Below are 17,602 nucleotides of genomic sequence, written 5' to 3'. Positions count from 1 at the left end.
GCACATGGATGAAATTGGAAATCGTCATTCTCAGTAACCTATTGCAAGAACAAAAAACCAAACACTGCATATTCTCACTCATAGGTGGGAATTGAACAATGAGAACACATGGACACAGGAAGGGGAACATCACACTCTGGGGATGGTTGTGTGGTGGGGGGATGGGGAGGGATAGCACTGGGAGATATACCTAATGCTAGATGACCAGTTAGTGGGTGCAGTGCACCAGCATGGCACATGTATACATATGTAACTAACCTGCACATTGCGCACATGTACCCTAAAACTTAAAGTATAATAATAATAAATAAAAAAAAAGAAATTGTGCTACATGTATACCATGGGATACTATGCAGCCATAAAAACAATGAGATCATGTCTTTTGTGGGAAGATGGATGGAGCTGGAAGCTACTATCCTTAGTAAACTAACACAGGAACAGAAAACAAAATATTGCTTGTTCTCACTTATATGTGGGAGCTAAATTATGAGAACTCATGAACACAAAGAAGATAACAACAGACTCTGGGGCCTATTGGAGTGTGGAGGGTGGGAGGAGGGAAAGGGGCAGAAAAAATAACTATTGGGTACTAGGCTTCATACCTGAGTGATGAAATAATCTGTACAACAAACTCTGATGACAAGAGTTTCACATGTATTCTCAAACGTGAAATAAAAGTTAAAAACAAACAAAGCTGTCATTCAAGAATAGTGTATCTAGCAAACTTATTATGAAGATGATATAAAATGTTTTCCAGGCAAAGAAAACCTGAGAGAATTCACCACTACCTGATTCATCTTACAAGAAATGCTAAGGGGAATTCTTCCTTCTGAAAGTAAAAATGGTTAATGTTCAAAAACAAAATTATGGTATAAAACATGTTGGTAAAATTACGTTCATGAATAAACTTGAGAGGTGAAGCCAGCTGGGCTTCTGGGATGGGTGGGGATTTGGAGAACTTTTCTGTCTAGCTAGAGGATTGTAAATGCACCAATCAGTATTCTCTAAAAATGGATCAATCAGCACTCTGTAAAATGGACCAATCAGCAGGATATGGGTAGGGCCAAATAAGGGAATAAAAGCTGGCCACCCGAGCCAGCAGTGGCAACCCACTCAAGTTCCCTTCCATGCTGTGCAAGCTTTGTTCTTTTGCTCTTCATAATAAATCTTGCTGCTGCTCACTGTGTCCGCACTACCTGTATGAGCTGTAACACTCACTGTAAGGGTCTGTGGCTTCATTCCTGAAGTCAGCATGAACACGAACCCACCAGAAGGAATAACTCTGGATACACCACCTTTAAGAGCTGTGACACTCACTGTGAGGTCCGCGGCTTCATTCTTGAAGTCAGCGAGACCAAGAACCCACTAGAAGGAATAAACTCAGGACACACCTTGCCGACCCAGATGGGACTTTCACCAAGTGATGGGAAACACTCAGACACCAACAGGCCCACCCTTGCAATGCATCCTAAGCCATTGGGACCAATTTGACCAGCAAACCCTGAAAAAGAGGTGGCTCATTTTTTTTGGCAATATGGCCTGGCCCCAATATCATCTCTCTGATGGGGAAAAATGGCCACCTGAGGGAAGTACAAATTACAATACTATCCTGCAGCTTGACCTTTTCTGTAAAAGGGAAGGCAAATGGAGTGAAATATCTTATATCCAAGCTTTCTTTTCATTGAAGGAGAATCCACAACTATGCAAATCTTCTAATTTATATCCCACAAGAGGACCTGTCAGCTTACCCCCATATCCTAGCTTCCCTATAGCTCCCCTTCCTATTAATGATAAGCCTCCTCTAATATCCCTGCCCAGAAGGAAACAAGGAAAGAAATCTCCAAGTGACCACAAAAACCCCCAGGCTATCAGTTATGTCCTCTTTAAGCTGTAGGGAGTGGGGAATTTGGCCCAACCTGGGTACATGTCCTCTTCTCCCTCTCTGATTTAAAGCAGATCAAGGCAGACCTGGGGAAGTTTTCAGATGATCCTGATAGGTATATAGATGTCCTACAGGGTCTAGGGCAAACATTCAATCCCACCTGGAGAGATGTCATGCTATTAGATCAAACCCTGGCCTTTAATGAAAAGAATGCGGCTTTAGCTGCAGCCTGAGAGTTTGAAGATACCTGGTATCTTAGTCAAGTAAATGATAGAGTGACAGACGAAGAAAGGGACAAATTCCCTACCAGTCAGCAAGCCATCCCCAGTATGGATCCCCACTGGGACCTAGACTCACATCATTGGGACTGGAGTCACAAACATCTGTTGATCTGTGTTCTAGAAGGACTAAGGAGAATTAGAAAAAAGCCCATGAATTATTCAATGAAGTCCACCATAACTCAGGGAAAGGAAGAAAATCCTGCTTTCCTTGAGTGGCTACAGGAGACCCTAAGAAAATATACTCCCCTGTCACCTGACTCCCTCGAGGGTCAATTGACCCTAAAAGATAAGTTTATTACCCAATCAGCCGCAGATATCAGGAGAAAGCTCCAAAAGCGAGCTCTGAGCCCTGAACAAAATCTGGAGGCATTATTAAACCTGGCAACCTTAGTGTTCTATAATAGGGACCAAGAGGAACAGGCTGAAAAGGAAAAGTGAGATCAGAGAAAGGCCACAGCCTTAGTCATGGCCCTCAGACAAACCTTGGTGGTTCAGACAGGACAGAAAATGGAGCAGGCCAATCACCTGTTAGGGCTTGTTATCAGTGTGGTTTGCAAGGACACTTTAAAAAAGATTGTCCAATGAGAAACAAGCCGCCCCCTCACCCATGTCCATTATGCCAAGGCTATCACTGGAAGGCTCATTGTCCCAGAGGACAAAGGTTCTCTGGGTCAGAAATCCCCAACCAGATGATCCAACAACAGGACTGAGGGTGCCCAGGGCAAGCGCCAGCTCATGTCATCAACCTTACTGAGCCTCAGGTACATTTATCTATTGAGGGCCAGGAAATTGACTTCCTCCTGGACACTGGTGCATCTTTCTCAGTGTTAATCTCCTGTCCCAGACAGCTGTCCTCAAGGTCCATTACCATCCGAGGAATCTTGGGACAGCCTGTAACCAGGTATTTCTCCCACCTCCTCAGTTCTAATTGGGAGACTTTGCTACAGATGTTAAGTATGCTTATCTAATCCTACATGCCCATGCTGCAATATGGAAAGAAAGGGAGTTCCTAACCTCTGGGGGAGCCCCATTAAATACCACAAGGAAATCATGGAGTTATTGCACACAGTGCAAAAACCCAAGGAGGTGGTAGTCTTACACTGCTGAAGCCATCAAAACGGGGAAGGAGAGGGGAGAGCAGCAGCATAAGCAGCTGGCAGAGGCAGGCAAAGACCAGCAGAAAGGAAAGAGAGAGACAGAAAGTCAGAGAGAGAGGGAGAGAGAAGAGGAAACAGAGACAAAGAGGGAGTCAGAGAGAGAGAGAAAGAGAGAGATAGAAAGTCAGAGAAAGAGGAAGAGACAAAGAGGGAGTCAGAAAGAGAGAAAGAGAGAGACAAAGAAGAAGTCAAAGAGAAAGAGAGATGGAAGCAGTAAAGAAAAAACAGTGTATCTTATTCCTTTAAAATCCAGGGTAAATTTTAAACCTATAATTTATAATTGAAGGTCTTCTCCATAACCCTATAACACTCCAAACCACCTTGTTGTCAGTGTAAACAAGGGTGTAGCCCAAAAACACTGAGGCCACTGACAACCCATAGCCTTCCTATCAAAACTGTAGCTTTCCTATAAAAATATCCTTAACCCAGCAGGTTTCCTAACAGGGGATCTAAATCTTAATTAATTACCATACAAAGGTCCGACCAGACCTAGGAAGTACTCCCTTCAGGACGGGATGATAGATGTTTCCTCCCGGGAGATTAAGGGAAAAAGACACAATGGGTATTCAGTAAGTGATAAGGAAACTCTTGTAGAAGCAGAATTAGGAAAATTGCCTAACAATTGGTCTGCTCAAATGTGCCAGTTGTTTGCACTCAGCCAAACCTTAAAGTACTTACAGAATCAGGAAGGAGCCATCTATACCAATTCTAAGTTAATAAGGTCTTAGTGTGTGGTAGTAGGATAATACATGTTACACTGTTAACTTTTAGCAAACTGTAGTTTTGTTGAAAACTTTGTAAGTTTGGGATTTCAATTATTCTTTGCTATTAATCTCAAAGGATTTCTCAGACAGTTTGCAAAAAATAACAAAATCTATCCTTACTCTACAATCCCAAATAGACTCTGGTAGCAGTGACTCTCCAAAACCGCCGAGGCCTAGACCTCCTCACTGCTGAGAAAGGAGGACTCAGCACTTTCTTAGGGGAAGACTGTTGTTTTTACACTAACCAGTCAGGGATAGTACAAAATGCTGCCCGGCATTTACAGGAAAAGGCTTTTTAAATCAGACAATGCCTTTCAAACTCTTATACCAACCTCTGAAGTTGGGCAACGTGGCTTCTCCCATTTCTAGGTCCTGTTTCAGCCATCTTGCTATTACTCACCTTCGGGCTGTGTGTTTTTAACCTCCTTGTCAAATTTGTTTCCTCCAGGATCCATGCCATCAAGACATAGAGGTCTTACAAATGGAACCCTAAATGAGCTCAACTAACAACTTCTACTGAGGACCCCTGGATCAACTCACTGGCCCTTTGGCTGGCCTAGAGAGTTCCCCTCTGGAGGACACTACCACTGCAGGGCCCCTTCTTTCCCTCTATCCAGCAGGAAGTAGCTAAAGTGGTCATAGCACAATTCCCACAGCAGTTAGGGTGTCCTATTTAGAGGGGGGATAGACAGATGAAGCCAGCTGGGTTTCTGGGTCAGGTGGGGACTTGGAGAACTCTTCTGTCTAGCTAGAGGATTGTAAATGCACCAGTCAGCATTCTGTAAAAATGGACCAATCAGCACTCTGTAAAATGGACCAATCAGCAGGGCATGGGTGGGGCCAAATAAGGGAATAAAAGCTGGCCACCAGAGCCAGCAGCAGCAACCTGCTTGGGTCCCCTTCCATGCTGTGGAAGCTTTATTCTTTCGTTCTTCATAATAAATCTTGCTGCTGGTCACTCTTTGGGTCCACACTACCTTTATGAGCTGTAACACCACAAGGGTCTGTGGTTTCATTCCAGAAGTCAGCGAGACCACGAACCCACCAGAAGGAACAAACTCTGGATATGCCACCTTTAAGGGCTGTAACACTCACTGCGAGGTCTGCGGCTTCATTCTTGAAGTCAGCGAGACCACGAATCCACCAGAAGGAATAAATCCCAGACACAAACTCAGAATACTCTGATACTATAATTGTAGTGTGCAATCCACTTATAACTCTAATATGAAGCCTCAAAAAGCAAATCTATCAAAAACAATAATAGCTACAGAAACCTGTTAAGAGATAGGTAATATAAAAATATGTAAAGTCAATTAAAATTCAAAATGAGAGAGAAATGAAGTTAAAATGTGGAAGTTTCATTTTTTGTTTGTCTCTATTCTTTGTGATCTAAGATAAATTGTCATCTCTTTAAAATAACTTGTTATATCTACAAGATTTTTTTGTAAACCTCATAGTAACCATAAGGCAAAAACCTATAATAGATTCACAAAAATTAAAAAACAGCAAATTAAAACATACTACCACAGAAAATCACTTAACCCCAAAAGAAGAGAGTGAGAAAAGAAGAAAAGAAGAGAGGAGTTTCAAAATACCAGAAAATAAGCAACATAATGGCAGTAGCAATTCCCTACTTATCAATAATAATACTGGATTTAAATGGACTCAATTTTCCAATTAAAAGGCATAGGGTGGCTGAATGGATAAACAAACAATACCTAACTACATGCTGCCTATAAGAAACCCACTTCACCTCTAAAGATATAGATAGACTGAAAGTGAAGGGGTGAAAAAAGATATTGCATGCAACTGGAAACTAAAAGAGAGTGGGAGTAACTATACTTACATTAGAGGAAATAGACTACAAATGAAAGATTGTAAAAAGAGATAAAGAAGGTTACTACATAATGATAAAAAGGTCAATTCAGCAAGAAAATGTAACCATTATATACATCTGTGCACCAACACTGATAGATTTATACAAATATAACTATAAAAAACTGATTAAAGTAATTGAACAAAACATTAATAAGGATATTCTATGTCATGGATTGGAAGAATTAATATTGCTAAAATGACAATACTATCCAAAGCAATTTACAGATTTAATGCAACCCTTATTAAAAGACCAATGCCATTCTTCACAGAAATAGGACAAATGCTAAAATTTATATGAAACCAGAAAGACCCTGAAGACCCAAAGCAATTCCAAGCAAAATAAGAAAAAAACAAAAAAAGCTGGAGGCATCACATTACCTGACTTCAAAATTTACTGCAAAGATATAATAACCAACGATTCACAATATTAAAGACATGGAATCTATCAAAATGCCCATCAATGGTAGAATGGATAAAGAAAATGTTGTACATATACACCATGGAATACTATGCAGCCATAAAAAGGAACAAGATCATGTCCTTTGTAGGGACATAGACAGAGCTGGAAGCTGTTATCCTCAGCAAATGAACGCAGGGACAGAAAACCAAACACCACATATTCTCACCTGAATGAGCTGAATGATGAGACCACATGGACACATACTTGGCCTTTTGGGGGTGGGGTGTTGCAGGAAGGAAAGCATCAGGAAGAATAGCTAATGCATGCTGGGCTTAATACCTAGGTGATGGGATGATCTGTGAAGCAAACCACGGTGGCACACATTTACCTACATAAAAAACCTGCATATTCTGCACATGTACCCTGGAACTTAAAACAAAAATTAAACATTAAAAAAAAAAGCTATAGTAACCAAATTAGCATAGAACTGGCAAGAAAACAGACACACAGACCAATGAAACAGAATAGAGAACCCAGGTATAAATCAATGCATTGACAGCCAACTCATCTTCAACAACAGCACCAAGAGCATACAACAGGAAAAGGAGAGTCTGTTTAATAAATGGTGCTGGGAAAACTGGGTAATTACATGTAGAAGGATGAAATAAACCCCTATATCTCACCATACACAAAAATAAAATTAAAATGGATGAAAGGTTTAAATCTAATACCTGGAACTATGACTATGAAACAATTAGATGAAAACTTTGCGGAAGTGTTCCAGGACATTAGGCTGAGCAATGACATTTTGTGTAAGACCTCTAAAGCACAGGCAACCAAGAAAGAATAGACAAATGGCATTGAACCAGGCTAAAAAGCTTCTGCACAGCAAAGGAAACAATCAACAATGATTTAAGGTCCTGTATGAGGGATTTGTTAAAGTATAATCAAAATGGAGGCAACAGTATATTCTTAGGTCAACCACTCATAGCCACATAACCAAAATTTAAGCTATCCTGATTTCTCTGAAATGCAATTTCTAATGATTAACAAAAGTTAAGCTTTCCTTTCTTGTTAGTATGATGAAATTGAACCAATTTGTTACAGATAAATAAGTTTATACAACTCTACTTGCCCAAAAAGGAATATGTTTTTAATAGCCAGTCACAGCAGAGGTCAATGCACTTCCTCATTGATGCTTTATAAGCTGCACTGTAACTCTCACGTCAAGTTTCTTACTATTTTTGATTTGAAGTCTTCTGGTTTGTGAACTATTCTTCTGTATGTATAATAAACCTTCATATTCCTTTTTTACTTGACCTGACTTTATTTTTACGGGGTCCTCCATGGCGTTTGGGTTTCTCACAGTGTGGCAGTCTCAGGATAATACTGTAGTACTTTTCACTAGGCAGGTGTCTTCTATGAGCAAGATCTCCAACAGAAAGGAAGTGGAAGCTCTTGTGGTCTGGAACAGAAAGCTCACACAATCTCTCTCTCTCTTTTTTTGTTTTGAGACAGTCTTGCTCTGTTGCCCTGGCTGGAGTGCAGTGGTGCGATGTTGGCTTGCCGCAAGCTCTGCCTCCTGGGTTCAAGCAATTCTCCTGACTTAGCTTCCCAAGTATCTGGGATTACAGGCATGCGCCACCATGCACAGCTAATTTTTTTTTTTTTTTTTTTTTTTTTTGCATTTTTAGTAGAGACGGGGTTTCACCATATTGGCCAGGCTGGTCTCGAGCTCCTGACCTTGTGATCTGCCTGCCTCAGCCTCCCAAAGTGCTGGAATTACAGGCGCGAGCCACCACGCCTGGCCAGCCCACACAGTATCTCTTCAGCAATATTCAGTAGGTTAGGGGAGTCAAAGAGCCCACCCAACTCAAGGGGAGAAAACAAAGGACCCTTATTCCCCCTTTATACGCTTCATGATGAGAGTATCAAAGTGCTTGTTGCAATATTTATTTCACCAAGGAGGAAAAGGTCAATTTGGACCAGAAAGGTCAGAAAAAGTTTCCCCCGTCTGGGTATCTCCAATTCTTCTATCCCTGGTTCACCTCAGAGTATTGCAGTTCTGAGAACCAGTGCATTCTGGATTCATTGTAGAACTTTGATTCTCTACTTGACTGTATGTCAGAATCACCAGAGAGCTTGAAAAATCCTGATACCTGGATCTTTTCCCGCAAAACTCTGGTTCATTTGGCTTGGGATTCAGTGTGGGCATTAAGGAGTTTCATCAGCTCTCCATGTAGCTTTAAATGTGATTTTAAGCTGGTTAAAAACCACAGCTTTAAAATGATATGGCCTAGACAGTGCACTGTTAGGTAAATACTTATTCCATAGGCATCAGGGTTAAGTTGATATGCAGAGAAGATCTCTAAAGAGAAAAAAAAAAAAAAAGGTAGGAAACAAATGAAAGTGGAATAAATGAAGGTGTAAATCAATAAGATGAATGGGGGAGGGGATGTCACTCTACGTATATGGTATAAGTTCTGCTCTTTTAGCTCCACGTAAGCTAAAATTGTGGAATAATGTACAAGACAAAAGTTATGAAGTTAGCATCGAATTTAAGCCAGAATTAAAAATTGTCAGGCACTCTCAGCTTGTTTTCTAGATTCGGTATTGATCTCTGCGAAATTCAGTTTTCTCTTTGCCAAAGGATATTGTGAGGTTTACTGGATATTTTTGACCTAGATGTATAGGCCTACATACTTGGACACAGGTTGTCTGTTAACCTAAGACTTTGAGTCAAATTTTAATAATAAGAATAGTTATAAATGTATAGCCCTATGAGTTAGCATTTTTTTAGTTCCAGCTGAAAAAAGAAAAAAGAATTGTCTAGAACATTTTTCTCTCTTCTGGGTATCCCCAGTACTTCTATCCCTGAGTTGCAATCCACTAATATTATTATTTATTTGATGCTCAATTTGTCCCAGATTTGTCCAGTGGGAACCCCTTTAAATGTCCTTAAAGGTAAAAACTGCCAGCATGTTCTACTGAGATATGGACTAACAATGTCAGACATATGTGGGTGCTTGAATAGTATTTGCTTCAAAAATATTTATTACTAGAAAGCTGCTGTGTTTGGGGTGAGAGGTTAGTAGGGAAGGGGGTTCATAAAGGGAATGCAAAAGCCACGTCCTCTGGAAGTTAAAGGATCATTTTAAATGATTCTACTGCAAACATTTTTCAAAAGATAAACATGACCCATTTCTCCAATTTGTGTCATGTAATAGTAATAATAATGATATTTAAATACTCCCACTGATATGTCCTTTACAAAGATATATTATATGTCTTATTTAATCAAAAAACCTTAAAAGAGTCCCTGTACCTAATTTTATTCCAGGACTCAAACTGTGTCAGCATGTCATTCAGTGCAAATCAGACATTTAGATGCATAGGCTATGCTGTCAGTAGTTCTGAACTTTCATAGACATTTCCAATTAGCTCGGAGAGACAACTGGATATTGTGTTTAAGCACTGTGTTTAGGAAAACAGGCACTGGATGGACCAATGCCAAATTTCCTGCTCTGCTGCTTAACTAAGTATGTGTAATTACTTGGGCAATTACTTAAGCAATTACTTGGGCAATTACTTAAGCCAATCCCCAATTTCTTCGTCTTGAGCCCAGAAGGTCAAGGCTGCAGTGAGCCGTGAATGTGCCTCTGCCCTCCAGCCTGAGCGACAGAGTGAGAATTCCCCAGGAGTGCAGAGGTTCTCAGAACTGCAATACTCTGAGATGAATTTTGAAAGGTGAATCAGGGATAGAAAAAGTTATATAGGGAAGGCAGTCAATAAGCTTGTTTTAAAGGATATGGAGCATTTGAAAAAGTGGAATGTACATAAGGCTGGAAATATCAAATATCTAAATATAGAACAGGAACAGTGATGAAAAGACTTTCAAAATGCTTAGCAAAATGAGAATTATATTTCTTTCTCAACTCTTTTGTTCCAACAGCAAAAGCAACAGTGGGGATCAGCATCAACTTGGGTAAGTAAGTTTTTCTGGTCATAAATAGGCTGATTCAACTGAAAAAAATGTTTCTTTAAGAAGGGTGAATTTGTGTCTAAGGATTTTATGAGACTAACTGGGAAAAGTCAGTCAGAGTTTAGTTTGAGGTGAGAAGTGCTTACTGTTGACACTCTACCTAATTATAGGGAAATGTGTGCAGTTAGTCCTGAGACCAGATGCAGGGTTGAAAGAAAGAGGTGTGATGTAGCAGCCATTGATTAGGCAATTTGGGTTTAGCAAGCCCAGTCAATGCCCTCAGAGGGTCAACAGTGTATAAGATTTAGTCCTTGAAGGCATCTTTTAAAGTTTCATTCAGAAGATTTTAATAATTTTGACCATAATTTTCTGAGAAGAGGCTTTTCTGAGATTTGTCATTCACAGATAAACAGTTGTCTAATTTGTGTGTGTGTGTGTGTACATGTGTGCATGCGTGCATTTGTGCATGTGTGCCTATCTAGCCTCTTTTGAACACAATGGTAGATTGGCACCTGGTAGATAATATTGTTGAATGAATTGTATTATTCATATTATCTCACTGCCAATTTGAAGAATCTACATTCTGTTTCCAAAGTTTTGTGCATATAATACTAAACCAGAAACAGACGTGTTTTAGTAATACGTACCAATTACAAATTAACCATTCCTGCCTGGAATAAACACAGGTTTTGTTAAATAGCTCAATTTTCAAAATTTGTCTCATGTTATTTCCAATCCTTTTTTTTTTAACGCCGATATATTTTGAATTTACGAATGTGAAAGCTGAACTTCAAAAAAATAAAGGGAGAGGAAACAAAGCTCGTGAAAAATTTTAAAAATATCTTTTAATGCGTTATAACATCCTGGAGAGAAATCAAATCAATGTGTTTCAATGTTACAATATAGATTTCTCCTCCCCTCCCGGATAAAGCACTAATTTATTTAATTTGGTTCAGAGCACTGAATATTCCAAGCTACAGCCTTGTGGGTAAGAGCATTATCTTAAAGAGTGTTCGGATTTAACAAAGGTCAATGTCTTGTGCAGTTTACATAGTATCTACTCTCAGTAGCTTTTGCTTCTTGAGCTCTAGGTGGCTCCTCAGAAGCTGTTAGGCTTAACAAACAAAAATAAAGTAAAATCAGACACGGTATGGGGCCTTGGGACTCTAAAACCTTCATCCGGAGAAAATCAGTTAAGCCTTCAGAGACTAGAAGAGAGAATGTGTGTGATTGGTAGGCAAAGCAAAGAAAGATTAACACAAGTTGTCTGGCAGCTGGATAAAACCTTACACCTGCGCAAAAATAAGCCTCCCTCGTAAGAAAGCCCAAAGATGTCCGGGGTCCGGGAGGAGAAAAGTGTTTCTCATCTGTCCCATCAAAGCAAATTAGTGAAACCTGCCTCAGGTGAAGTGCAAAGGCCAGTCTGTAGGCAGAGTTTCGACCTCTCCCCACGAGATTGGCTAGACATCACCTGCCCAAGCTCTCTCCCGACCTGCTAGAGCCGAGAGGGCGGAGGCCGGAGAGGCTGCAGCCGGGAAGTAGCACCGCCACCGCACATCCGGGAACGCCAGCAGCCGGCTGAGGGCTGCATAACTGATGGAGGGCCGGGCGCGGTAAGAGCGTCTCGGGGGAGTGGGGCAAGGCGGCCGGGCCCCTCCCATTCCGCCTTTTCTTCAGCGTCCTACCCGCGGCACTGGCTGCGAGCGCCGGGCCACCTGCGAGTGTGCGCAGGGACTCTGGACACCCGCGGCGGCGAGCTGAGGGAGCAGTCTCCACGAGGACCCAGGCGGACCCTCTGGCGCCATGCGCGCCCTCCCCGGCCTGCTGGAGGCCAGGGCGCGTACGCCCCGGCTGCTCCTCCTCCAGTGCCTTCTCGCTGCCGCGCGCCCAAGCTCGGCGGACGGCAGTGCCCCAGGTGTGATGGGTACAGGGTCCAGGGTAGGGAGGGCGGAGGGCGCGCGAGGCTCGGGTCCCCGCGGGCAGAGGGCATCGCCGGCGCGCCGGGCAAGGGTGGCGGGGAGAGGCGCGGGGATGCTGGTAAGGGCGGGTGGGAGAGTCGGCGGCGGCCTCCCATTAGCTACGTTTGTGTCACCTAAGCTGAACCCTGAAACTGCTGCGGCTCGCGTTCCTGCGCTCTTTGGGGCGAGTCTTGAACGAACAGCGCCCCGCGAGTCGGGCGCGTAGGTAACAGGGCAGAGTCTGGTTTTTCCTAGGAAGAAGGCAGTGGGGTGTGTGGGTGGTTGCAGGGACCAGCTAGCGACTTGGCTTGGGCAAATATGGCATGAATTTTGAAAGCCACATTTCCCCAAGGCCTACTCCCTTTTCTTGATTCGAGAGTAAGGCTCGAGTATCACCTCCTTCCCTCCTCTTGGCAGGTGGGTTGGCTTTGAGGATTTTTTTTTTTTTTTTTTTTTTTTTTTTGAGACGGAGTTTTACTCTTGTTGCCCAGGCTGGAGTGCAATGGCGTGATCTCGGCTCACCGCAACCTCCTCCTCCCGGGTTCAAGCGATTCTCCTCTGTCAGCCTCCAGAGTAGCTGGGATTACAGGCATGCGCCACCACGCCGGGCTAATTTTATATTTTTAGTAGAGACTGGGCTTCTCCACATTGGTCAGTCTGGTCTCGAACTCCCAACCTGAGGTGATCCGCCCGCTTCGGCCTCCCAAAGTGCTGGGATTACAGGCGTGAGCCACCTCACCTTGCCGAGGATGTTTTTTTAGAGCTGAGTAGGGGAAAAAACATCATAACCAACTAGCCAACCAAAGATCCACAACTTACAGGATAACGTGTGTGTATCTTCATTTTACACCGTGGTCTTTGAAAACAAAATGTGTGTGTGCATGTGTGTGTGTGTATGTGTGAGATTTTTGCTTGTTGTTTTATTGTTTAAGACACTTTGACAGAGGGATTACGTGCAAAACATTAACAAAGCCAACACGAAAGTTGCCATTCTACCTTCACCTGTTTATAATTACTTTTCATATTGAAAGGATTCCATCCAACCTATTGCAAGTTTCTGTGTCATAAATGTTACCAGCCAGTAAGGGTAATAAAAGACCACCTCTCAAGCTGGTAAATATTGGCCACCAGTAACTAAAATTGGGACATTATTCTGCAAAAAGTTTTCAAACTCTCATGGGAATTTATTTTCATGGGCTTGTAAGATGTGGAATTTTTGTAACACACCATAGAGAAGGAAGGATAATCAAAAGGTAAGACTATTAATTTTTATAAATGCCTTTTAAAACGTCTAGTTGTTAACAACTTGGACAGAACATCGTGGGTTCCTTCGCAGATTTCCTTGTGCCACATCTCTTTTCCATAATACCACTTATAAAGAATTGTCCAGGCCTGTAATCCCAGCACTTTTGGGCGCTGAGGTGGGAGGATGGCTGGAATCCAGGAGTTCAAGACCACCCCGGGCAACATAGCAAGGTCCCTTCTTTATTAAAAAAAAAAAAAAAAAAATTAAAAGTGCGGTTGTGGTGATGTACACCAGTAGTCCCAGGTGCTTGGGATGCCAAGGCAGAAAGATTGCTTCAGTCCAAAGTTTGAGGCTGCAGTGAGCTATGATGGTGATGGTGCCACTAAGCTCCAGCCTGGGTGACAGTGCAAAACTGTCTCAAAAAAAAAGAAAGAAAAAGAAACAGAATTGTCCAGGACATTTTTCCCCCTTCTGGGTATCTCCAATTCTTCTATCCCTGGTTCACCTCAGAGTATTGCAGTTCTGAGAACCAGTGCATTCTGGATTCATTGTAGAACTTTGATTCTCTACTTGACTGTATGTCAGAATCACCAGAGAGCTTGAAAAATCCTGATACCTGGATCTTTTCCCGCAAAACTCTGGTTCATTTGGCTTGGGATTCAGTGTGGGCATTAAGGAGTTTCATCAGCTCTCCATGTAGCTTTAAATGTGATTTTAAGCTGGTTAAAAACCACAGCTTTAAAATGATATGGCCTAGACAGTGCACTGTTAGGTAAATACTTATTCCATAGGCGTCAGGGTTAAGTTGATATGCAGAGAAGATCTCTAAAGGAAAAAAAAAAAAAAAGGTAGGAAACAAATGAAAGTGGAATAAATGAAGGTGTAAATCAATAAGATGAATGGGGGAGGGGATGTCACTCTATGTATATGGTATAAGTTCTGCTCTTTTAGCTCCACGTAAGCTAAAATTGTGGAATAATGTACAAGACAAAAGTTATGAAGTTAGCATCGAATTTAAGCCAGAATTAAAAATTGTCAGGCACTCTCAGCTTGTTTTCTAGATTCGGTATTGATCTCTGGGAAATTCATTTTTCTCTTTGCCAAAGGATATTGTGAGGTTTACTGGATATTTTTGACCTAGATGTATAGGCCTACATACTTAGACACAGGTTGTCTGTTAACCTAAGACTTTGAGTCAAATTTTAATAATAAGAATAGTTATAAATGTATAGCCCTATGAGTTAGCATTTTTTTAGTTCCAGCTGAAAAAAGAAAAAAGAATTGTCTAGAACATTTTTCTCCTTTCTGGGTATCCCTAATTCTTCTATCCCTGATTCACCTTTCAAAATTCATCTCAGAGTATTGCAGTTCTGAGAACCTCTGCACTCCTGGGGAATTCTCACTCTGTCGCTCAGGCTGGAGGGCAGAGGCACATTCACGGCTCACTGCAGCCTTGACCTTCTGGGCTCAAGATGAAGAAATTGGGGCTTGGCTTATGTAATTGCCCAAGTAATTGCTTAATTGCCCAAGTAATTACACATACTTAGTTAAGCAGCAGAGCAGGAAATTTGGCATTGGTCCATCCAGTGCCTGTTTTCCTAAACACAGTGCTTAAACACAATATCCAGTTGTCTCTCCGAGCTAATTGGAAATGTCTATGAAAGTTCAGAACTACTGACAGCATAGCCTATGCATCTAAATGTCTGATTTGCACTGAATGACATGCTGACACAGTTTGAGTCCTGGAATAAAATTAGGTACAGGGACTGTTTTAAGGTTTTTTGATTAAATAAGACATATAATATATCTTTGTAAAGGATATATCAGTGGGAGTATTTAAATATCATTATTATTACTATTACATGACACAAATTGGAGAAATGGGTCATGTTTATCTTTTGAAAAATGTTTGCAGTAGAATCATTTAAAATGATCCTTTTAACTTCCAGAGGACGTGGCTTTTGCATTCCCTTTATGAACCCCCTTCCCTACTAACCTCTCACCCCAAACACAGCAGCTTTCTAGTAATAAATATTTTTGAAGCAAATACTATTCAAGCACCCACATATGTCTGACATTGTTAGTCCATATCTCAGTAGAACATGCTGGCAGTTTTTACCTTTAAGGACATTTAAAGGGGTTCCCACTGGACAAATCTGGGACAAATTGAGCATCAAATAAATAATGATATTAGTGGATTGCAACTCATTTAATAATATGGGAATTCATGAGTACCCACTGATGTAAATTTAAAAAGGAGTCAATGAAAAGTTTGATGGGGTACAAAGTATTAAAGATTCAGAGTAACTCTTCAGAATGTGCTCATTAATATCAAGGGAAAAAGAGTAACTTTATGGTGGAGAAGCTTGGCAGACAGCACTTTGATCAAATGATCAAAGACCAAAATCTGTTTAAATGGAACAGATGAACCATAAGCCTACTTTTATTTATTTATTCATTCATTCATTCATTTAATTTTTGAGACAGGGTCTCACTCTGTCACTCAGGCTGGAGTACCGAGGCACACTCATGGCTCAGGGCAGCCTTGACCTTCTGGGCTCAAGAGATCCTCCCACTTCAGCCTCCCACATGGCTGGGACTACAGGCATATGCCACCACACCCGGCTAATTTTTGTATTTTTTGTAGAGATGGGGTTTCACTAGGTTGCCTAGGCTGGCCTTGAACTCCTAGGCTCAAGCGATCTTCCTGCCTCAGCCTCCCAAAGTGTTGGGATTATAGGCGAGAGCTACGGTGCCCAGCCTAAGCCTACTTTTAATAGTGATGTTTCTGATGCATGACCATTTTTACCCTAAATTTATCATCACAAAAAAATTATATGTTGAAAACATTTGTTAAGAATTAGGGCAACTGACTCTTCCTCATCTTCTGTCACCCTCGTTCCCTTCCCTCCTACCTCTCATCTTTCCCTCCATAGGTCCTATAGTTATTTGGTGGGGAAGAGCAAGGAGACATCCTCACTAAGTGGGTGGAGCCCAAGGGGACCAGATCAGGATATCTGAGGCTGACCCTGGTAAGGATGGCATCAGGCAGGAGGGCAGCCTGGTGTGGAGTATTAGGGCCTGAGCACAGTGAATGGTTGCTCCTGCAGCGGGCAGCTTGACACAGGATCCCAGAGTTGAGCAAGTTTAACAAGGCTTTTGTGCAGGAGCAGCAGATGGGTGATGTTTGATCCCAAACAAGATGTGGAGGAAAGCATGTAGGAGGGTCAGACCAGCGATGGAGGTTGGAGCCTGAGTGGGTAAGGAGACATCTCTGTGGGGACAGGTGTGGCAGTAGCAATGACAGTTTAGCAGTATACAGGGTGATGGATCAAATAATTAAATCTAGGAAAGATAATAGGATCTAGGTTTTTCACTAGAGAAGAATGAAATAAAGATAGAGAAAAAGTAGAATGAACCCTGTGGTGTTGGATTGCAGTTGGCAGTATCCATGGGAATCCATGACATTAAATCCCTATCTCTTTACTTAAGTCTATATAGGTATATAGCTTTAAACAAGTATATGTGTAAATATATGTATGATGAATACGTATCATGCATATCATATACATAAGTGTATATGATATACATTATAAGTTGTATGTGTATATGAATATGTGCACATGTATTCTTAGCAGTGATTTCCAGTAGTGATGAGTATACTTAGCACCCAGATCTTGGGTTCTAAATACCATTCTTTACTAATAGTAACCAAGGCTTCTTGGAGAAATGGCTGATTTCAGGGCTAGTGTGGGAAAGTAGCAGATAAGCCTAGAACATCTTGTGCCAGAAAGCAATGGAGTGCTCAAAGGATAATGAGTCATGTCAAAAAGATACAGGAGCCAATATGAAGGGGTTCCCACTGGACAAATCTGGGACAAAATTGAGCATCAAAATAAATAATAATATTAGTGGATTGTAACCCATTTAATAATATGGGGATTCATGAGTACCAACTGAAGCAAATTAAAAAATAAATCAATGAAAACTTTGATGGGGTACAAAGTACTAAAGATTCAAAGTAACTCTTCAGAATATGCTTACTAATATCAAG

General features: G+C 41.4%; 1 protein-coding gene across 3 annotated transcripts in view, besides 2 other annotated features; it reads left to right on the top strand.

Moving 5' to 3' along the window:
• The first annotated feature begins 9,953 nt into the window (after nucleotides 1-9,953).
• The window catches only part of EMB (embigin), a 47,154-nt gene continuing 39,505 nt past the window's right edge, over nucleotides 9,954-17,602 (top strand). The window contains exons 1-2 of one of the 3 annotated variants that reach the window (XM_011543146.3): nucleotides 9,954-10,109; nucleotides 10,315-10,347. Coding sequence is in view for 1 of the 3 variants with exons in the window: in NM_198449.3 (NP_940851.1) it covers nucleotides 12,148-12,259 (112 nt within the window). In the remaining 2 variants the exon portion in view is untranslated. Of the gene's footprint in view, nucleotides 10,110-10,314; nucleotides 10,348-11,913; nucleotides 11,958-12,010; nucleotides 12,260-17,602 lie in introns of those variants that run through there. The other 2 variants (XM_047416702.1, NM_198449.3) reach the window with 2 other exon arrangements.
• Nucleotides 12,068-12,197: a silencer, noted in NCBI's record as "silent region_15999". NCBI's record gives its function as "represses an Ori minimal core promoter by ATAC-STARR-seq in GM12878 lymphoblastoid cells {active_cell/tissue: GM12878}" and the evidence as "EXISTENCE:reporter gene assay evidence [ECO:0000049][PMID:35858748]".
• Nucleotides 12,278-12,467: a silencer, noted in NCBI's record as "silent region_15998". NCBI's record gives its function as "represses an Ori minimal core promoter by ATAC-STARR-seq in GM12878 lymphoblastoid cells {active_cell/tissue: GM12878}" and the evidence as "EXISTENCE:reporter gene assay evidence [ECO:0000049][PMID:35858748]".

This window comes from Homo sapiens, chromosome 5, assembly GCF_000001405.40.
Source record: "Homo sapiens chromosome 5, GRCh38.p14 Primary Assembly".
In the NCBI taxonomy this organism is placed as follows: Eukaryota; Metazoa; Chordata; class Mammalia; order Primates; family Hominidae; genus Homo; species Homo sapiens.
The sequence above is the reverse complement of the archived record's forward strand: the minus strand, read 5'-3'. Positions and strand labels throughout refer to the sequence as shown.